The 23550-nt window shown below is 36.5% G+C and overlaps 2 annotated features.

The window, feature by feature from the left end:
* Positions 10278 to 11477: an enhancer, noted in NCBI's record as "P300/CBP strongly-dependent group 1 enhancer chr2:158102473-158103672 (GRCh37/hg19 assembly coordinates)". NCBI's record gives its function as "activates an origin of replication core promoter dependent on BRD2, BRD4, P300/CBP, MED14 and CDK7 cofactors, with strong dependence on P300/CBP, by STARR-seq in HCT116 cells {active_cell/tissue: HCT116}" and the evidence as "EXISTENCE:reporter gene assay evidence [ECO:0000049][PMID:35650434]".
* Positions 10814 to 10903: a silencer, noted in NCBI's record as "silent region_12023". NCBI's record gives its function as "represses an Ori minimal core promoter by ATAC-STARR-seq in GM12878 lymphoblastoid cells {active_cell/tissue: GM12878}" and the evidence as "EXISTENCE:reporter gene assay evidence [ECO:0000049][PMID:35858748]".

The raw sequence follows: 23550 nt of genomic DNA, 5'->3' as shown, positions 1-23550 counted from the left end.
AGGAATTTATCACTGAAGTTAACATTTCAGCTTTAAGACATAACAGCTTAAAGAAGGGGCCTGGTATATCCTCACTTCCAGAGATGTATATGTTTAATTATTTAGATCATTCATTCAAGGGGTTTCAATGTATTTCTTTGTAAGCCAACTATTTTTTTTTCACTAATCCATCTGTTTTTATTATTACATTTGATTACAAATAAACTTAATTTGTCATACTGCTATAAAAGTTTCTAAACACTTTGTTATGGTCTGAATGTTTATGTCCACCCAAAATTCATATGTTGAAACCTAATCATAAATGTGATAGTATTAGGAGGTAGGGCTTTTGAAGGTGATTTCATTATAAGGATAGAGCCCTCATGAATGGGATCAGCACCCTTAAAAAAGAGGCCCTATTGCCTTGCCATTCCACAAAGTGAAGACATAATGAGAAGGTGCCATCTATGAACCAGGAAATGGGCCTTCACCAGTCAACGAATCTGCTGGTGCCTTGATTTCTGACTTCTCAGTCTCTAGAACTGTGAGAAATAAGTTTCTGTTGTTTATGAGTCACTTAGTCTATGTTATTCTTCTATAGTAGCCTGAACAGATTAAGATACACTTACTCTCAGTTTCAGTACTTATCTCGTCTTAAACCAGCAAGCAACAGTTTCAGGACCACACCAGGACTTGGACCAGATTTTGAGTGATGCTGGTTGACTGGTAGGGTAGCAGTTCCGCCACAGGCTTTTCATTAGAACCACTTGAAACAAGATCCCCAAAACTCTGGTCAATTGATGAGAGAGGAGGTGGAGATGACATTTGGGCTGATATTGTATTAAATATATATATATATATATATATATATATATATATATATATATATTTTTTTTTTTTTTTTTTTTTTTACAAAGCTTCCCAGGTCTTTCAAATGTGCAGCTAAAGTTGAGAAACACTGGTCTAGAAAAAAAGTCTCAATTTTTTGTTTGTTTGTTTTTGGTTTTTGAACATTGCCTATGAGACATTTAATTTTAGGTGTCTACTTGACTGGGCTAAGGAACACCCAGAGAACCAGTAAAGCATTATTTTTAGGTATATCTGTGAGGGTGTTTCCAGAAGAGATTGGCATTTGACTCAGTGCACTGAGTGGGGAGGAGATGCCCTCACCCAATGTGGGCAGGCACCACTAATTGGTTGAGGGCCCAGATAGAAAAAAAGGCAGAGGAAAGGTGGATTCTGTCTCTGTTAGTGAGCTGGGACATCTTTCTTCTTCTGCCTTTGGACTAGAACTTTAGATTCTCTGGCTTTGGCCTCTGGGGCTTGTACCAGTCTGCCCCCACAACCTCCACATCCCTCACTAGGTTCTCAGGCTTTTGACCTCAGACTGAGAGTGATGTTATTGGCTTCCCTGGTTCTCAGGCCTTTGGACTCAGAATGTGCCATGTTACTGGCTTTCCTGGTTCTCCAGCTTGCAGGTGGCCTGGACTGAGGTTTCTCAGTCTCCATAACCACATGAGCCAATTCCTGTAATAAACTGCAACTCACTTATCTACCTCTATGAATCCTATTGGTTCTGTTTCTCTGAAAAATCCTGGCCAATACAGTCTACAACTTGTGTGACATTCCTTCCCTGTCTAAAGTACAGTCTAATAAAATCTATGCATTCCCATAACAACTAAATCAGAATACACATTTTGACATTGCCAGTTGTAAAGATTGTCCATAGAGTTTGAGAAGCACTTCTCGGGACCACTGTCCTTCTCTCTGAGGAACTCTGAGTGATTTGTGGACAACACTGCTGTTCATTACTCTAGTGTGGGGAGGGTCTAGCTTCCATGCTTTGAGGTAAACTTATGTTCCCAATGACTTGGGAGGGGAAGGAGAGATTCCAAATTCATATATATATCTCAAGCACTTTGCTAAGTTCTTTCCATTGACTATCTCACTCAATCCTCACAAGAATCTAATGTGAAGGAGTAAATTACAATATGTATTTTGTAGTCAGCAAATGAAACCTTAGAGAGGTAAAGCAACTTCTGGTAGAGATTGGAGGGGTTGGGTCTTGAATACACGACTGTAGTCCGTGTGCTTCAATATCACACAATACTGCTCTCTAGCTGTATGATCTTGCAGGCTAGTTAATTTTATGTGGTTACTGAGCAATAAAAAAAAATTCTGCTTTGCAGATTAATGTGAGAATATTTAAAAATGGTTAAAGTTATTGTTATATTGAAGGTACTCTTTAAATGTTAGCCATTCATATTGTTGCTAATACTTTGCTGTAATAGGAGTGTCGGATGCATGTGGGAGGCAATGTACCAGCTCTTCCCAAAAAAACAAGTAGAAAACTAGTGACTAACATGATTCTGGCAATGGGGAAGAAACAAATCTGAGTATTTTATTTTATTCTTGCCATTCTTATTTCCTCTAATTATAGATTTAACAAGACCATTGTTCACTGAGAACTCCCTACATGCCCAAAACATGAAGTAGGTGACATTGTCTCTGCCCCTAACAACCTTAAAACTCCCCTCAGTAGAACGCCACCAGTATAATAATAATAATAATAAAAAAAGAACGCCACCAGCAAAAAACATAGCACACATCTTTAGCATCCACATTCGAAAATAAAGTGAGAATTTTTTTTAGCATCATGGATAAATGGTTTGCATTACAATATTGTTTTAAACATGAAAATAGAATACTTTAAAATTATTTTACTCTGCATGATTCAATCTTGTCCAGCCACCATCCCACCCCAAATGGCAGTTGGAATTACTCAAATGTCTTTTAGGAAAGTCAACACTTGTTATATTCTATGCTTGGCAGTTTAAAACACTGCTTGAAATATATTCTTGTTTCCATATAAATTTTATCAAAGAGTACTGATTTCTTTTTATCCCTCTCTGGTTTGTCCTTGCGAATCAAAACACAAATTACTTGCAACAGGAGAGCAACATGTTAAGAAAATTAAAAGGGAATCTTGGCTTATCTATCATGGGTAAAGCAACACATTAACTCTGGCTTAGTCTTCGGTCTATTTGACATACAATTCAGAATGAAATGTGAAGAGTGGGTAGGAGAGTAAGGAAACATTGATTAAATATCCTAGAAATGGAGGAGTAGATTTGTTGTCAGACCTGGTCTAAAGTACTGACTTGGCCACTAATAGCCATATGACTATGGATGTGTCACACATGGAAAAGCTTGTGTAAGGTTCTCTTCCCAGCCTCTTCTTGGTCTTTTCCCTTGTGAGTTTATGATAATCTGTGATGATGGTAGAAGTTGGTTATAAGCCATACCACTAATTCAACACTATGTGTCTTCAGGCACTCAGTAATAATTTCTGTGGCCCTCATAGCTGTACATCTTTCTCCTTTTTTTTCTCTTTTCCGACACACATGCTGTTTCACATCTCAGATCAATGAATTGCATAGGTAAAAGGAATAGAAAAAAAAGGATATTAGGAAATTCTACCTTTTCATCAACACACATATTGCCCAACACATGACATTTGTATATTGGTAAATGACGGTGCTTCTAAAATTTTAGTTGTATTAATTTCCATGTTACCAGCAGGAAACTAAATACGTAAGTGGGTTGGTTATTTGAGGTACCCCACAGTTAGGGAGCCTGGCTTGTCATCCCAAGTCGTAGAATGCAGGTACCTTTGGCTGGTCAAATTTCTCAAGAATCTGTACATACTTAGTTGGAGATGATATCCATCTGAAAATCTGGAGTTACGAATTATCCTTGGGAGACATTTGGAGGGGTTATTCCAATTATCAGTCTGACTCCAGCTTGTACTAAACATTTAAAAACAGATTTTAGTTTCTTCTTCTGTAAAACGAGCATAATAGTAGGAGGACTTGCCCTCTACTCTATTTGGTTGTTGTCAGGATAATCATATTAATAGCAACCTTTCATTGGGAATTTACTGAGGGCCTACCACTAGTCACTTCACGGTATCTCATTTAATCCTCAACATTTAATTTTCTCAGACTAGATCAAAAACTGTTCAGCAAAACAGATCTGCATAAAGTTAGAGTGAAAAGTATATTTGTGTTATATTCTCATGGCAAATGTCTTTGAATCATCCTCATTGTTAATCAAGTAGGAGCTCAGTAAACACTGTTTTATATCTAGCCTTAAATCTCCCTGATGGAAGTACAGAATCTTAGAAACACCGGTTCCAGCTCTCTGGCTTTGCATCTACAGTTACTTTATCTGGGTATTTGAAGATTTCTTGACTATGTGAGTATATCCTAAGTAACTAATATCTGTTTTATTTTATGATATTTACTCAACTACTCACTCCTAAGTAAAAAGAAAGATGTAAAAGGAAAATTAATTTAAATGTATATTTTACAGAGAATAATGATTATCCATGGATGCATCACTGAATTTCTTTTTCCCCAGTTTTACTGAGCTATAATTGACTAATAAAATGATACATATATTAAATATTTAAGGTGTACAACATGACTTTGGATAGCCTTATACATTGTGGTATGATTGCCTCAATGCAGCTGATCTCCATTATCTCACATAATTATCTTTTTTTGTGTGTGGTGAGAACATTTAAGATCTACTCTCTTAGCAAGTTTCAAGTATACAATATATTATTATCAACTATGGTCATCAGGCTGTACATTAGCTCTCCAGAACTTACTAATCCTGCGTAACTGAAACTTTGTATTCTTTGACCAATACCTTCCAACTTTCTCCATCCCCCAACCCGCAGTAACCACCATTCTACTCTCTACTTCTATGAGTTCAATTTTTTAGCTTCCGCATATGAATGAGATCATGCAGTATTTGTCTTTCTATGCCTGGCTTATTTCACTTAGTGTAACGTCCTCCAGGTTCATCCACAGTGTTGCAAATGATAGGATTTTCTTCTTTTTTGAGGCAAAATAACATTCTTGTGTGTGTGTGTGTGTGTGTGTGTGTGTGTGTGTGTGATATATATGTATGTATGTTGCACTTTCTTTATTCATTCATCTGTTGATGGACACTTAGGTGAATTCCATATCTAGGCTATTATGCGTAATGGTGCAACGAACATGAGACTGCAGCTATCTCTTCAAGGTGCTGATTTAATTTCCTCTGGATATATAGCCAGAAGTGTGATTGCTGGGTCATATGGTAATTCTATTTTTTAGTTTTTTTGAGGAAACTCCACACTGTTTTCGATAATGGTTGTACTAATTTACATTCCCACCATCAGTGTACAAGTGTTCCCCTTTCTCCATATCCTTACCAACACTTGTTATCTTATATCTTTTTCATCATAGCCATTCCAAAATGTATGAGGTGATATCTTATTGTGGTTTTGATTTGCACTTCCTTACTGATTAGTGATGTTAAGCATTTTAAAAATATGCCTGTTGGCCATTTGTATGTCTTCTTTTGAAAAAGGTCTACTCATTTTTTTTCCCTATTTTTAAATCCAGTTGCTTTCTTGATATTGAGTTGAGCTCTTTGTCAATCAGTAGGAGCGCAATAAACATGGTTATATATTTGAGATATTAACTCCTTATTGGATGTATGGTTTGCAAATATAGTCTGTCATCCATAGGTTGTCTTTTCACTCTGTTGATTGTTTTCTTGGCTGTGCAGAAACTTTTTAGTTTCCTGCAGTGTCATTTGTCTATTTTTGTTTTTGTTATCTGTGCTTTCGGAGTTCCAAATAATCACCACTCAGACCAATGTCAAGATTTTTCCCTGTGTTTACTTTCAGTAGTTTTACACTTTTAGGTCTTCTGTTTAGGTCTTTAATCAACATTGAGTTGATTTTAAACCACAAAGAAATTAAGCAAACAAGCCTATTTACAATAGCATAAAAGTACTTAGGAATAAATATTTTTTAACCAAGGAGATGAAAGCATTTTTAACTAAGAAGGTGAAATCTCTGTGTACTGAAAACTATAAAATATTGATGAAAGAAATGGAAGACATAAACAAATGGAAATATATACTGTGTTCACAGATTGAAATAATTAGTATTCTTAAAATGTTCATACAAACCAAAGTCATCTATAAATTCAATAAAATGTCTATCAAAATTCTGGCGTTTTTCACAGACATAGAAAAAAAATCCTAAAATTTGTATGGAACCATAAAAGATATCGAATAGTCAAAAAAATCTTGAGAAAGAAGAAGCTAGAGGCATCATAGTACCTGACTTCAAAAATATGCTACCAAGTTATAGCAATCAAAATAGTATACTACTGTCTTGAGACAAGCCTGGGCAACATTATGAGACCCCCATCTCTACAAAAAATAAAAAAATTAGCAGGGCATCGTGGTGCACCTCTATGGTCCTAGCTACTTGGGAGGCAGAGGTGGGAGGATAGCTTGAGCTCAAGAGGTCGAGGTTGCAGTGAACCGAGTTTGTACTGCTGTTCTCCAGGTTGGGTGACAGAGCAAGACTCTGTGTCAATAAAAAGTATATGATACTGCCATAAAATCAGCCACATAGACCAATGGCACAGAACAGAGAGCCCGGAAATAAATCCACAAGTTTACAATCAGTTGTTCTTTGACAAAACAGCCAAGAATGCATAAAGTGGAAAAGGTAGTTTATTCAATAAATGGTGTTGGAAAAATTGGATATCCACATGGATAATTAATTTCAACTCATTGCGACTTCAGACAATACAGGATGAAGATACTAATTAGAAAATTTAAATGGGAAAACCAAGTAAATACTAATTACTGTTTTTTTCGGATTTTAATGTGATTTTTTTCTTTCCAAATTCTCTCTTTCTCTTTTTTAGAGAAGAGACAAGTTGTAATCAACTGGATAATAACATCCTGTGAAACAAATCCATAAAAGGAAAGAAAAGTTTTAAAATCATATACTAAAAGGCAGGCATTATTGCAATATCAACAGGTAGAGTAAAAATACAAATGGAAATATTATTCCATTTTAACTAATTCTTCCAATGAAGATGAATAGTTACAACTTCTGGCAGTCATTAAACATTGGTGTATGTCTCTTTTTAAATAAAATTTGGAAGCTGACTAACAAATGACCTTATTTCCTAAGACCAAGAGAATCAGTATACCCTTTACACATTTGTTCTTGAAAAGGGTTGCCTGTATTAGTGATAAATCATAATTGGTTAAGCCTAAGTTTAAAAAAACAAGAACCCTATTATTGAAAGACAATTTATTGTGTTTAGACCTCAGTTTTCATTGATTTTTGAGTAGTGAGGCTAAGCCAACATTTGTGCTATACTACTTTACAGGTCCCTAGCCAATTTTTACTTAAAAAATATTTTAGTTTAATTAGGAAAAATTTAATAAATTTAAAAGCAAAACATTAATTGAGTATCTTCCTTGGACAAAGAACTGTGCTAGTCATTAAAATGGAGAAAGTGAGCAGGTTCCTGAAGGACATATTGTCAATGAGCCCAAAACTGGCAACTCATAATCTTAATTAACTGAGTTATTAGTATTGGTTAATTATAGCTTTGGGGATAAAAAGAGAAAATAGCTCAGGGTGGCTCTGTAAGAACTTCAGTAACTTAAACAGGAATGGTAGGGGGAAAATGATAGTTTGAGAGAAAAGAAAAGTTCAAATTTAAATATGTTGTATTTGAAATAAATGAAGATTTTGTAACTAGGTGCATATTTAAAAAATATTTATGGAGTACCGACCACATACTAGACTAGGCCCTGTGCTAAGCTTTGGGAAAATAAAGAAGCCAAAGCCCATAATTTAGTGTAGTTGTTTTCATTTATATGTGTGTCCATCAAACATTTCATGAGGAAGTGTTGTTAAAATATAGACTCTGACGTTCTCCCCTCAGAGATTTCAAGGTTGGTTGTAGGGCCTAGCAATCTGGATTTTAACTGGAGTAGATAATGATTCTGATAGAGTTGGACCACCAACCATACATTGAGGCTCACAGGTTCAGCAGCAGAAGCATATTAATATTAAAATAAGAAAACTGGAATAGCTTATTTGGAGGGGTGTTTGGAAAGGTGTCCTGGGGGTGATGACTGAGTGTGAATTCCTCTTATGAATAGGGAGAGGGTAATTTAGGAAAAGCAGTCTATGCAGAGGTAAAAGCAGGCTCAAAACATTGAGGGAGGAAGGCATGAGAATAATATGAATGGATAATTAAGATTTGTTTGATAGTACTAGATTTTACAGTAGATTGGCAAGCAACGAGGTAAAGATTGTTGGCTGAGCTTCTGTTGTATTTGTTCAAGATTTTGGATTTTTACTGTTCAAGGGCTAGAAGCTTTTTAAAGTTGGAGTGTGATACTCTCAGGGTTTTGGATAGAGAGCGGGTGGGTGTATGAAGAATAAATTGGTAGTAAGCAAGCTGCAGGCTGGGAGACCAATTAACATAAGTGCTACATATTTATTGCCCTTCTTTTGAACAGTCTAATCACACATGGAATAAAATCTGAACTTTAATTGTACATGTTAGTCTATTTAAGATATTTTTCTAGATCAAGAGGGAAGACTGGAAGAGGGATCATTTCTACTAATAGAGTGGGTCTTCATTAAAGACACAGTCTCTTAAAGTGCACGTAAGGCACAAATATACAAGCTATGCCCTCTGTTTCTAAACCTAAGGTGTGTTTAACTTTTAAGAAACTGCCAAAATGTCCCCAAAGTGCTTGTATCATTTCATATTCCCACTGACACTTCCCCACATTTTCAGTAACACTTAACTTTTTAATTGTAGTCATTTTTGTGGGTATATAGTGGTATCTATTTGTGTTTTAATTTACATTTCCCTAATGACTAACAATTTTGAGCAGATTTTTCTGTGCTTATTTGCCAACTGTCTACATTCTTTGGTGAATTACGTCTTCAAATTTTTGATCCATTTGTTAATGGATTGGTTTTCTTATCATTTAGGGACATGAAGAAACCTTTAAGGATGGAGGTGTGTCTACTGTCTTCATCCTGGTGATGCTTTCATAGGTATGGACACAATATCAAAATGTATTCAATTGTACACCCTAGAAATGTGCACTTTATTGTGTATATATTATACCTAAATAAAGCTGTTTTTTAAAAAACAAAAACCTAAGGAAAGAATAAGGACAATTCCTGGACCAAAAAACGAGTGCAGTGTTTTAGTTTCTTACTATTCCAAGCAGGAAAAAAGTGGACGATGCCATTATTACAGCTTGTAGATCCTCAAGAAATGAGGTCCCTACTTCTTTGGTCCTAAGAAGGAGCTGCAGTTCTGGTCTCCACAAGGTCAGTGCAGACTCTCTGGTTTGTGCAGTGCTGCCTTAGGCTGTTAAAGAGAGCAGGCCATTGTGTGCTCCCTGGATGGGCCCAGCCAGATGCCCTTCTTACTCTGTTCCCCAGGTGCAAAGTACCCATCAATGCTTTTAAAACGTTTAAATGGAAGCCACTCTCAAAATTAGAGTTCGTCCCATTGCCTCTACATTCAAATTGTTATGTTATCATTGAGTTGTATAACATTTAAAATGAAGGCCTATAGGCTTCAATTACAGTATTGTTTGAAGAAAATCTTTATAAAATATGATATTTTTGGAGCAGAGTTGGGTAGGAGCTCCAGACTCCAGGTCTAGAGTCAAGATTGTGCCAGGGGTTCTTTCTACGAATGACGGTGAGGGCTTTGATACTATAAAGAGAGTGGATACGGCCTAATCAGATAAAAGTGTGTCACCAGAGGAGACAAGAAATGAGTTTACAAATACAGGCTTATAATTTAATTGTAAAAAAAGATTAGAGACACCTTTTGTTTTGAAATTGTTCCAGTTCCAGGACAGATAAAAATGAGTGGAAGAAAGCAAAGTTCAGAGTTCGGGCCTGGTGACTTCTGATTTTCTCAGAGAAGTACGAGATAGACTAATGGTGAACAGTGAAGAGTTGAGGGTGAGTGATGTCAAAAGACAACACTGTAACAAATTTAGTTTAAAGATTTAACAGGAATTGGGGCAGTATCTCCTCCACAAATTTAGAAAAGGTGCTCTGATGGGCATGGTAGAACAGTTCGTTTTTATAGGACAGTCTAAGCAGGACCAAACATATAGCATAATACAAAAAGCAGATGGGTTACCATCAGGTTACTTCAGGTTACTTTCCTTGCAGGGTTAAAAGGATGTTTCCTGACTCTACCAGCTAAAACTGGCCTGTTTGGATACTTGGCAATGGTCTTTCTCTCCTGATTTCCTGAAAGGTGAAATAAGCAACTTTTTTAGTTTGGTACCAAGGAACTTTAGCACGAGTGATTCCATTTTGATTTGGTCGGTTGGGGCCTAGTTCAGGAGCTCAGTCCAACTCAATGACTTCCTATAAATTTTATTTAACAGTGGGTAGGGGTTGGATGCACTTGGTAAAGTTTGGAATCAGCTGTTAAGAGGAGAAAGAAATGTGCTACCTCAGAACAAGAGTAAGGACTTCTCAGAGAGCTTCGAGAGTCCTGCTGGCATTTTAACCAATGCCTCTAAGCAAGGAGAAAACACAATGAGTGACAGTAGAACAAAGAAGGCATGTGGACACTCCCACAGCATTCCTGAGACAGAGTGATAAAAGGTGACAGGGAAGCAGATATGGAGTAATGATTTCTGACAAACGTGGAAAGAAGGGGATATCATGAAAGGATTTTAGAAAGTGGAATTGCCGTATCTAAAAGCATTAGGAGAAATTCTACAGGCGAGAATAAAAAGAAGGCACTAGAGATTTTTGTTGTTGATTTTATTTGTAGAAAGAGACATTCTTTAACAACTGCAGGCATGTTAGGACTTTGCCCTTTGAAAATCTATTAGTAATGATATAAAAATCCTTCCGTGGTCTCTTTTGGCAGAAACTGAATTAAATCTTCAGCTGCTCTCTGAATCACTCATTTAAAAGTTTCAGTGATTCATATGCAAAGCTTGAGTTAAGAGAACAAAGACCTGAGCGAGTTTCTGTAGGGCTCGGCCTAAGCAAAGTTGTCACGCAGAACAACATGAGTGCTGGGTCCCCTACCCTTGGCCCTGACAACCTCCATCCGAGCAGCAACCCCTATCCAACTTACTGCTGCCCTGCAGCCTCCCAGGTGCTGCCCTGGGAATGCCCTCAGAACGGGTCCTGTCCTCTGATCCTGACTCTCCTTCCTCTTCTCATCCATCCCCCTGAAATGATCCTGTCCTCTTTATGGCCTCCATTATAGCAAAGAAAAGAGAAGGAAGAAGAGAGGAGTAGAAAAAGAAGTCTTGTGGGAGGAGCAGACAGCAGGTGCTATGTAGGGCATTTGAGGGCTCTTTTCATGTGCTGTGAAGAAGTGGGATGAAATGAAAATCTTTTTGAAAAAGCTGGAAGCTGTTTCAGATCTCCCCCTGCCCTGCTCCCCACCAATTCAATTCCTGCTCCCAGGGGAAAGTGCAAAATAACTTTCTGTGGAATGAAATGATGACAATGACTTTGGATCCAATAATGTTATCATAACCTGGAAATAACCTTTCCATCTGAGGCTTGCAAAGGCAGTGAAGTGTGAAACTCAGACTACAGTTAGAGAAACGAAAGAGACTTGAACTCAGGACCCTTTGGACATTTCCTTCAATATCAAAGAAAAGTTTTTATTTCTCTCCTCTGAAAATAGGGTAGGAAATGGGTAAGTGATAAACAGAGAAAAAGGCAGAAGCAATACCTAATTAGAAATCAAACTAAGAGAGGAAAAGAAAAATGGGTTCAGATTAATGTCAGGTTTGGTTATTCCAGGATCTCAACTTCGTTGCTGTTATCACATACTTTCAGAGGCATTCAGGTCTTGTGATGCCGTGTGCTTGAGTGTTTTTCTTACTCTTGGAAGCTGAGGATTAATACTCAGGGCTGGGCACACAGGAGAAAAGGGTTTGTTAAGCATCCACTCCTGGTTAAGCTAAAAAATGTACATAGAACTTGAAAGCACCCAACTCAGTTCCAGAGGGATGAAATAAACCTAAAAATAGGTGAGCTCTGGTTGTATTGGGGCTGGCCTGAAAACACACAAGAAAGGAGCACTTGAAAGAGAAGGAAAGAGGAGCAATGTGCATATTTTACATGGATATACACATTTGTGTCTACATATTTATATACAAATGTACAAACTCCATGTGTGCTTCGTTTGTGTGTGCATATTCATATTTATACATATGTATATATGTAGAGTTCACAGAGCATACCCACACAAATACACACCAGAGGTGCTGACTTTGAGCTCTGTAAGAAAAAATTTACTACTCGGGAAGAAATGAAACAGGCCTTTTGAGGACATTGGCCATACACTACCAGGTATACTACCTTTTGGAGGGCAGATCATATGTTTTGCATATGTTTATTTTGGGTAGGAGGAGACTCAGGAGCAACATAATAACCACTTCAAAATTTTAGAGGAATATCCTGTGGAAGAAGGGTTTAACTCATTCCGTATGGTTCCAGAAGAGAGAACTGAGACTGGAGCATAGCAGATTTCTGTTCTAAATGAGAATGACTTTCTAACAATTAGTACTAAACAAAAGACACGTGTATTTCTTCTAAAAGTAGTTAACGATATGCCTGCTCTTGTAAATGACATGTGGCAGAGGATGAATGGCCATCTGTCACAGAAACGGTAGGGGGTATTCTTCCATTAGGTGGGGGTTTGGACTACAGCATTAGCTGGACCAGCTCCATTCTGAAATTCAGTGGTTCTCTGAAATACATAAATGAGTTTTGAGGCAAGGCAAGTCAGATAATGGTTTTGATTTACTGATTGCTTTTACTTCATTCAGTGACTTAGGAGCAGAAAACTCCTATCTCAATAGTTCCTATAGATATCTATTTTTTTGCCTTCTGTTTGATTTCTATTCTTCCTCCTTTTCTCTTTACCTTTAATTTTTGTGTTTCTATTATCTTTTCCTTTTCTTTTCTTCTTCCTCCCCATGCCCTCTAGATATAAGGATGGAGTAAAGGCAATGTTTGTCAAGAAAGCAACAAGGAAGAAAAAAGAATAGAGAAAGGAAAACTTTGAACTCAGTTAACTTTTAATTTTCACTTCAAATTTTGGCTGTGTGTGAGTATGTGAATGCATGTATGTATACTGGATTGTGTATGTGTTTGTGTGTGTGTGGAGGGGTGGGATAGAAACAGAGAGAATGTGTGAGTAGGTGAATAGACCCTCAGATGTTTGGAAATGCTGGAAGTTAGGTACCACTTCTTGTTGTCACGATGCCTAGTGGGTGCTAGTAGTAATTAATGGCAAAAGGGGAGGAATGCTCTATGTCCTGCAATATGCATGTCAGTGCCATCCAATCATGTATTATACTACCCTACATAACAGGGCCCCATTGAGGAACACTAGGGAAAGGCTGTGGAGACAGACTGTCTGGGTTTGAATCCTGGTTCTGCCATTTTTAGCTTTGGGATCTTGGATAAATACTTTAAGCTTTTTGGGTGTTTGTTTTCTCTTCTGTAATATGAAGGGTAATAAGAACACCAACCTCACATTACTGTCAGAATTAAATGAATTAGTATGAGTCAAGTGCTTAGAAAAGCACAGACACATAAAACACATTCAACAGTGTCATCTATGATTTTAATTTTTCTGAAATGGCTGGAAATGGACTACTTGGACTCATCTTATGTGCTGAGTGTATGAAAGTCTCTACATGCTTTAACTGATTTTTTAGGGAACTAGATAGTAATGAACCAGTACTTAAGAAAGTGCAGCTTATGGACCCCTTGATGTTGTGAAGCTTTTGTGATATCACATGAACACACGTAAGCTTTGGCAGATAAAATTAATTTGCCTTGTTCTTTTTGTCTTCCTCACACATAAGCAAACATATAGTCATATACCACATAACTATACTTTGGTGAGGAACAGACCTCATATATGACGATGGTCCCATAAAATTATAATGAAGCTGAAAGATTTCTATTGCCTGGTGATATTACAGCCATCTTAACTTCACAGCTCAATGCATTACTCATGTGTTTGTGGGGATGCTGGTGTAAACAAACCTACTGTGCTGCCAGTCATATAAAATTGTAGCACATGTAATTATGTACAGTACATAATACTTGATAATGATAATAAGTGATTATGTTTCTGGTTTATGTATTCACTGTAGTAAAGTTATATTTACTATAATTTATTATCATATTTACTATACTATAGTTTTTATCATCATTTTAGAGTGTACTTCTACTCATTAACAAAAGTTAACTATAAAACAGTCTCAGGTGGGTCCTTCAGGAGGAATTCCAGAAGAAGTCATTGTTATCATAGGAGATAAAAGCTTCATGTGTGTTCTTGTCCCTGAAGACCTTCCTCTGGGTTAAGACGTGGTTGTGGAGGATGGTGATATGGATGATCCTGGCTCTGTGTAAGCCTAGGCTCATGTGTGTGTTGTGTCTTAGTTTTTAACAAAATGTTTGTAAAGTAAAACAAAAAATTTTGAAAATAGAAACAAGACTTTAGAATAAGTATATAAAGAAAGAAAATATTTTTGTACAGCTGTACAATGTGTTTATGTTTTAAGCTAAGTGTTATTACAAAAAGTTCAAAAAGTTAAAAAATTTAAAAACTAATAAAGTTAAAAAGTTATAGTAAGCTAAGGTTAATTATTGAAGAAATTTTAAAATGAATTTGGCATAGCCTAAGTGTACAGTGTCTACAAAGTCTATAGTAGTGTACAGCAACAGCTTAGGTCTCCATATTCACTCATAATTCACTCACTTACTGGCACAGAACAACTTCCAGTCCTGCAAGCTCCATTCCTGGCAAGTGCCCCATGCAGGTATACCATTTTTTATCTTTTATACAATTTTTTTTGTGGTATCATTTCGATTTTAGATATATTTAGATACACAAATACTTATCATTGTATTACAATTGCCTACAATTTTCAGTATAGTTACATATTGTATAGGATTGTAGCCTAGGAGCAATAGGCTATGCCATATAGCCTAGGTGTGTAGTAGGCTATACCATCTAAGTTCATGTAAATACACTGTATGATATTCACCCAATGACAAAATTACCTAAAGATGCATTCCTCAGGACATATCTCTGTTGTTAAATGACACATGATTATATACCCAACCGTTCCCCTAATCTACATACACACACACACAGACACACAGACAGATGCATTTGTAATAATAAAATGTAAGTCCTAGGATTTTTGTCACATGTATTTGCTTAATAAGTAGGCACAATACATGCATTTACAATATGTGGGAGGCTGTGGAATTTTGAAAAAGTTTTTTCTTTAATTCCTTGGGCTTGATAAGGTTCAAGCTTCATACAACGGACCATTCTTAATCCTACATTGATACTGAATATTATTTTATCTTTTAAAAGATTGATTTAATAAGCATTTCAAGATTTTGCCACAATCCAAGTACATAATCACAGACTGTAATGATCATTCTGTCATAAGTCAGTTCTAAAAGGCACATCTGATTAAATGGAATCTGTTAAAACATTGTAATGCCATAGAAATTGCTTTTATAAAAAATCACCAACATTAGCTTGTTTGCTTTTCATTTTTAATTTATTTTATGAAAACAGAGTTAAGATTCTTCATAATAGTGTGTGCTTTGTATGGTGAAGAGTATTTCCAATTGATTTTGTCCCATCTGTTTAAATGCTTTCTCTTTCCCATTTGACCAACTCATTTGGAGGGAAATGCAAGTACATATGCAACATGTGGACAGAACCATATGATTCCCCCATGATATGATTATTAAATTTTTCTACTAATACATATTGAGAAGTGTTAAACCTTTTCCTGCCATTCGTGGATACATTCGTTGATGAACATCTGGCTCATGTAACCTGCATATGCTGGATGCCATAAATTACATGGAAAGGCAGGAGACATCTCACAGTTTTTTAAAATATGTATACTCATGCATTTTTCACTATTTGTTCTAAGGATTAAAGTACTTCATATGGGTCAAGTGCTTAGAAAAGCTCAGATGCATAAGGCATATTCAGCAAATGTCAGCTATGATTTTGATTTTCCTGAAATGACTGGGAATGGGATATTGGGATTCATATTACATGTTGAGTATCTCAGAGTTTCTATGTGTCTTAATAAGTTTTTAGGGAACTAGAATTAGCACTGAAAAGTCCCATGGAGAAGAAGGAGATACAACTTATTTACCCTTTTTCCGTTTGCCCCAAGAATACTTGCTGGCGAGCTTGTGGCTGCAGCGTTTACCCTAAGACAACTTTGCATTGAAATATCTCACTTTACTTATTGTTTTTGCATCATTCTAATGTATCAATTTTGGACACAAAAGACATCATTCTATTTACAGCATTCTGTTTTTAGTAGTGGTATTTCCATTTACAAAATATAGTAATTTTTGATTGCTGAAAATGTCAAATCCTAGAAAACGTAGCATTCCTATGTGTGATGTTAACATTGTTCACGAACGGTTGTTGGCCGAAGATTCATTTGATGAATCTGAGTTTTCTGAAATAGATGATTCTGATGATTCAGACGATTCTGATGTTAGTTCTGTTTAGAAATAACTCCAAGAACAGTTTTTATATTTTAGTTTCACATTGAAAATCAGTCAGATTTGCTTCAGCCTCAAAGAGCATGTTTATGTAAAATTAAATGAGCGCTGGCAGAGAGCAGCACTTTTTTGTTTCTAAACAGGAAGAGGGTTAAAATATGAGTGCTCAACTTACCACCTCACTGCAGGATTTGGGGACAGGGAATACATTGGTACTCTGTATTTTCTACTCAATTTTGCCGTGAACCTAAAAATTCTCTAAAAAGTACAGTTTATTAAGGACTCAGAAATATACTATTGGGATTATAAAATAATAATCATAATAATATCTGAGAAAGTCAGGGTCCATAAAAACAAACTTTAAATTACAGCCTTTCTCTCATTTATACCCCCACCCACAACACCAATAGGTGGGTTACCAGAATTCGACTTTACGAAGAATTTCATTTATCGATTTGTGTTTGTTTGCCTTTGAGGTAGCTCAACCTAGAAAACAAAGCTGACAGTCCTTTGTGGCAGTGTGATTGGCCTACTCAGGCTACTACTAACTTGCCTAAAGTGCTCCTGTTACATTAGTTTATACAGTAATGATCTGGGTTATTTTCTTTTGATCTGCGTTATTTTCTCTTGCCTTAATTCTTTTGTGTTTTGTGTATTAAAGATTTAATCACATAAAAAATATGAGTACCCACCACTCATTTATTCCTTGTTAGCAAAGACACAAAAGCATTGAATAGAGAACCACATTTGTAAAAAGTTCTGTACAGGAAGGTAGTCTGGTGTAATAAAAAGTAGAGTTTGAGACCACCAAATCTCAAACTCAAATCTCAACCCCATTATTTTCTTGTGATGTGACTAAGGCACCCCAGCGTCTTCACTCAGCTTTAGTTTCCTCACATGCAAGTTAGGGACTTTAAGCCTATTTTGTTAGAGTTGTGAAAACAAGAGATGAAGAGGGTAAAATCACTTAACTTGGTGTCTGCTATATAGTAGATGCTTATAAAATGTTAGCAACTAACAGCCATGGCTATTATTATCTTTATGCTGAAATTACTTTTTAATTTTTCAATTTTTAATTTTTATAGGTACACATCAGGTGTATATATTTGTGAAGTACATGAGATGTTTTGATACAGGCATGCACTGTGAAATCATCACATTATGGAGAATGGAGTATCCATGCCCTCAGGCATTTATCCTTTTTCTTACAAACATTACAATTACACTGTTTTAGTTATTTTTAAATATACTATTGAGTTATTGACTACAGTCACACTGTTGTGCTATTGAATACTAGGTCTTATTCATTCTTTCTAATTAATTTTTATACCCATTATATGTTGAAATTTTTGATAAATGAATACTGTTAAAGCATTGTCATTTGTTTTCAATTACAATATTATGAAGTAGTGCCTGCAGCAATAATAGCAATGAAAAGATTGAGGACTAGGCCCAACGATTTGCTGTACAGTTAGCAGATAGAAACCTACAGTCTTCAACAATATAGGCTACAGACTTTAGGGACAAGATATAAGAATGCCCTATGTGACTGAAATGTACACAAAACTGCTCAGCATGCTTGGAATTAGTGTGTGTTTGAAAGTTTCCTCAAAGTAACCAATATGGGTTTGTGATTTGGATATAGGTAACAAATGAGTGTTAGGTGTGTGTATATGTATGTGTGAATGCTCCTTAATTTATAATTAGAAGGAGCAAGGCTAAAGTGTAATACAGATAAATTACAAACTAGGACATTATGAATTTATTTAACAACTATCCATGCCACAAATGTTATGTGACAGATACTGCGGTATATGCTACAAGTAGAGGTGTGGAAATTTGTAAGACATAGTCCTTAAAATCAAGTTTTTTAGGCCAATAAACCAGCACTTACAACACAGATAAATGATAAATGCTATAGAGAATTTTGCCACAACTAATAATGTACACAGAAGGACATCTGCTTTGCTTGAAAAGGTCAGGGGAAATGGAAATGATTCTAGGAATGAATAATAAAGATTAAATAACAGCTATCCAGGAAGACAAAAAAGATTGGGTATTCTAGTCAGAAGGAACTGTGTGTGCAAAGGCACAGACTTAAGAAAATGTGGGTAAGTGATAGGGCAGGGAAATGCAAGAAATAAGCCTAAAGGGGTAAACAGGGACCAGATCATCACATTGTTTGTATAGGATATTACAAAGCAAAAGAAGAGGCCCAACAATCATCAGTAGCAGGAAGAAATTTATCAGTTGCCCTTACAAGTTAGTGAACTAAACATTTCAAGGGCTCTGTATCATTTGGGTTTTTATTACAGGTTCTCTTTTACAAATTCTTCTTTCTCTATCCTAACCCTTCTCCCCAAGGGAGCCCACACGTTGTGACCACACTGATTGTATATTTGTGCGCTCCACGTAGGGCACAAATTCCTTAGAAGTGGAATTTTTGGTGGGAGAACAAAGGAGCTTGTATTTGTGTAATGCAGTGGAAGATCTATTGGTGAGCTGACAATAGTTACAGCTTGTTCTGCAAAATGATCCTGGAGCCCCCTCACCCACCAAATAACAACTTTACTTTGATATCTAACTTGATTATTTCATTTCTTACATTTATTTCAGGATTTAAGAACCCTTATGATGTCTTTCTGTGTCTCAAGTCTTGCCCCCCTGTGATTTCTGACCTGAGATGACTGTTCTTGCATGATTGGGTTCCCCATGCTGGGTTTCCCCAATCTTTCTCAACCTTTCATGACAACCCCTAGCTGAAATTATCCTGTATACCTTAATGATGACCAGTTAATTTGCCCTCAGATACTAATGGCTTACCATGGCTCAATTGATCGACCTTTTCCAAGAGGAAGATTATTGTACTTAATGTTTTCATCATTATATTTCCATTGCCTCACTTTCTTGCCATACCCAATTTATGTTCTTTTGCAGTATTATATGTGTATTTGTAAATCCTTCTCAATGTTTTCCCTTTTTTTTTTTTTTTTGAAACAAAGCTACTGAAATAAAGAATGGGCAAAAAGCAATCCCTTTACTATTAAAGGGTCCTTTAATGTTGAAACTGAAGATGGGCCTTCATGGTGAAATGGTATGAAAGTAGGCTGACTTAGGTGACATTTTGAGCAGAAGAGTCTTTGGTCTTTCCTTAAATTACATAGCCCAAGGATGTTACTGATTTTGATACACCAAGGAAGTTCTTTGCTAAAATTCAATTGTTCTCACCCTTTTTAATTTTAGAGTTTGCTAGAAATTTTAAGGGTTTGCTTTAAAGAGTTATCAGAGCCACTATAACACTGGACAAACCAGCAATCGCTACTGCAGTGTAACAATGTTCCAATATGTCTACAATATCAACTGCATTTATTGAACTTTTGATTTTGTCACTCTTCTTACTCTTTTTCCTTTTAGATGTAACATTTACTGTCTTGACCATGATTTTGAAAGAGATAGTTCCCTTGACCTTTCATGGGACTTGTGAAGGGGTTAGCTCATTTATTCAGCCCACTGTTCTTAGACCCTCATGGGAGGGGGAGCATGCAGGTGAGTGAGTGCAGGGGCCAGGATGAGTGCTTCTGGGCACTGGCAGGAGTAGAATTTTGTGCCACCCCACAGCAGCATCTAGGGGGGTATCCTTGATCCCCGGAGCAACAGAGGGCTTGTGTTACAGTGTGCTCTTTTAGATTTGCCACCCATGGATGGCTTAAGTGTTTAATAGCTCAGAGTGACAGCCCTCCATATCCCGAGCTTTTGTTTGGCGTCCAAAAATAATCAGGTCACACGAACGAATTGAAGATGATAAAAGTGGAGGATTTATTGCTGATGAAAATGGCTCTCAGTGTGTTGGGGAGCTGCAAAGGGGAAGAAGTGGGAAAGTGGTCTTCCCCTGGAGTTTAGCCATCCCCAGCCAAACTGTTCTCCGAAGTCCCCCCAGCAAGCTGTCCCTCTGAAGTCAAGCTGCTCCTCTCTGATGTCCTGCTGCTGCTTCTCTTCTCTCCTCCTCTGCTACCCTACTGCCAGTGGAGCATGGGGTTTTTATGGATGCAGGATGGGCGGCAGGCCAGGCCAGGGTGGTTTTAGAAAAGACAACATTCAGGTGGGAAAACAAGAATGCATGTACTTACTTTGGGCTGCAGGTCCAGGCTTGAGGTTGGGGCTTCATTAGGGACCCTGCCCTTCTCTGCCTAATATTTCCCTGCCTCCCATCCACATTAATTTCATATATCCTCACTAGGCATAGCTCTTAGGTGAAATGCATTGCATAATTCCAGCAGGCACAATTATTCTTTGAGAAGTATTATCATACTTAATGTTTTCATCATTATATTTCCAGAGGTATTCTTACGGCTTTGGAGTTGTGCAATACTGCAGGTTTGCACATGTGTAAGCACACAATATTTTTCTGACTTGGCTTGGTTATTACTCTGTGCTTCCTTAACCTGTGATTTTCACCATCTCCTTATAGTGATGTTCATCTCAATGTTCATTTTGACAAACCACAGTAACGTTGTCCAAATTACCTAGAATAAAATGAGAGTTTCTTCTTGATTTAAAATCTATCTTAGCATTGAGTCTTAGAGAATGGGACTGGGTGGGTGGAGAATGCTATGACTATTTGATAACTTTGTCCTGATTACACGCTCTCATTTATAGCAAAAGTAAATTTTACCTGTAGATTAAAAGCTATTTATATTAGTTTTAAAATCTTTTGGGGAGCATGATCCTCTTTGCAGTCAGAGAATTTATACTCTAGGATATCAGCATTACCACTGATGATCATAAACACTTTAAGATACATGGTCTCTTGTTCCCTTTGTGTTACATAAACTACTGGGTCACCATTTTGATTTCCCCTCAATCATTAGCTATAGGAGTTTTCTGGCAGCACAGAATAATTTGTCTTGTTCTGTATTGTCACTACTTTGAAGAGTATCTCAACACTTAAATCAGAAATGTAAATTTCTCATTTTCAAATGTTGAAAATATAGCACTTTATGCTATTTTAAAGAAGTTAGAGTGGTACAGACTTAACCAGTCAACTTGTCCATACAAAAGTCACTGTCTTCTCAAGAGAGGAAGTGCTGTTCAAATAGTCAGGAACATGTGTATTTGTAGAGAAACTTAGTCTAGTTTATAGTGCTTGGAGTAGGAGTATTTAGCCAGGCTAATAGAAATAATTTTCAGGTTCAGGTCAAGAGCACAAGGTTTAAAAGTATAGAATGTTGTCTTGGGAAATCCTTGTGAGAAGCTGTGGATGATCAGCTATCCAGATGAGCTGTGACAAAGAGTGGACTTCATTATTTCTTTTCTTTTTTTAAAAATTGTACTTTAAGTTCTAGGGTACATGTGCACAACGTGCAGGTTTGTTACATAGATATCCATTTGCCATGTTGGTGTGCTGCACCCGTCGACTCATCATTTACATTAGGTATTTCTCCTAACACTATCCCTCCCCCAGGTCCCCACCCCGTAACAGGCCTGGTGTGTGATGTTTCCCTCCCTGTAAGGACTTCATTATTTCTAAAAGCTTCCTCTATCTCTTCCAAAAATAGCTTTTTTTTAAATGAAAAGACAGTGACATAAAAACTAATTGCTACTGGAAATTTAATTTAGAGATCTTTATATTGGCAAAAATGGGTATATATATTTTTTCCTTTTAAAAGATCCTCTTGTTTCATTTTAATATAAAAATAGCTACCTTGATGTCAGGATGTTCCAGGTTGTAATGAAGCCAGTTTTAAGCCTCTAGTCCCTGTGTATTCTACCACTAAAGAAGAGAATAATTTTACAGTAGAAGATTATTTCATGATCCCTAAGTATCTGAAGTATTTTTCTTCCTTTTTCTCTTTTTCCATTCATCCATTCACGGTATCTATGTACCTGGTACCATGGCAAATGCTGGGAATATCAAAATGGAATAAGTTAATGTCCTGGCTATCCAGAAGTTCTTGAATAGCAGGGAAAGCAGACATATAAATACAGTTAAATAAATATCAAGAAAAATGAGCATGAAAGGGCTCAGGGGAATTGCTGAGGAAGGAGAGGTCAACTCTGTCTCAATGGTTGACTTTGCCTTTCTGCTTACTCTGTGACCAAGAACTCCTTTATCATCCTTGATTGTGAATTGGCCACAGGGCTTAACTTTACTTTTTCCAGGAGTTCTTCTCTGGCTCTATAAATTCTGGCTTCCAATATGTCATCCTCTATCATCTGTCTACTGTCTGAAGTTTAGAAATTAGCACACAGAATGCAGTGGTCTAGCTATTACTTGATTAACTGAGACACTTAAAACAAATATTGAGTAGATTGAGTAGCCTGAACTTATTAATACAATTACCAAAAAATATAGACTACTGAAGAGTTAAAGCTTTCAAAAAAATGTATAATTTTAAGAAGTCATGCTCCCACTCTTCATGTCTGTACATAAAGCATGAACTCAAATGTCAATGGTTTGGGTTTGAATCTTGGCTATGACATTTTGGAATTGAGTGACTTTGCCAAGCTGTCATTGGGTTTTTGTGAAAAAGAAATAAGACAGTGCATAAAGGATACAGCACATTACTGGTCATATAGTAAATGTTCAATAATCATTGGCTACTATTACTTCCTAATTGGCATCATCCTAATCTTACTCCTGCTGTTAAAAGATAGTACTTTTTCTTAGGAATGGACTGACGCATTTACTTAAGTGATGTGATTTGAAGGAACAATGGAAAGAAACATCAAAAATATTATTTCACAAGTCTACAATACCTTGAAGTTCTAATGACTATTATTCAATAAATTATTAATTCTGAAGCTTTCCCCACATTTGGTATTCTAATCCATTAATGTCCTTATATGCAGAGAAAAAAGAAAATTGGCTTGACCCAAGGTACCTCCTCCAACCTTCTTTGACATAATTGACAACTGTGGACATTGGAGGAGATAATCCAAAAGGGCACTAAAAACAACTTCACCTATTTTACAATTTTATGAAAAGTTGGATACATTTGCCTCTACTATTTCAGATTGTAGTCATTAGGTCTAATGCAAAAAACCAAGGGCATCAACCAAAAAATACAATTTAGATGGTTTTC

This window comes from Homo sapiens, chromosome 2, assembly GCF_000001405.40.
Source record: "Homo sapiens chromosome 2, GRCh38.p14 Primary Assembly".
NCBI classification, from domain to species: Eukaryota; Metazoa; Chordata; class Mammalia; order Primates; family Hominidae; genus Homo; species Homo sapiens.
Note: the sequence above shows the minus strand (reverse complement) of the source record. Positions and strands in the feature narration are given on the sequence as shown.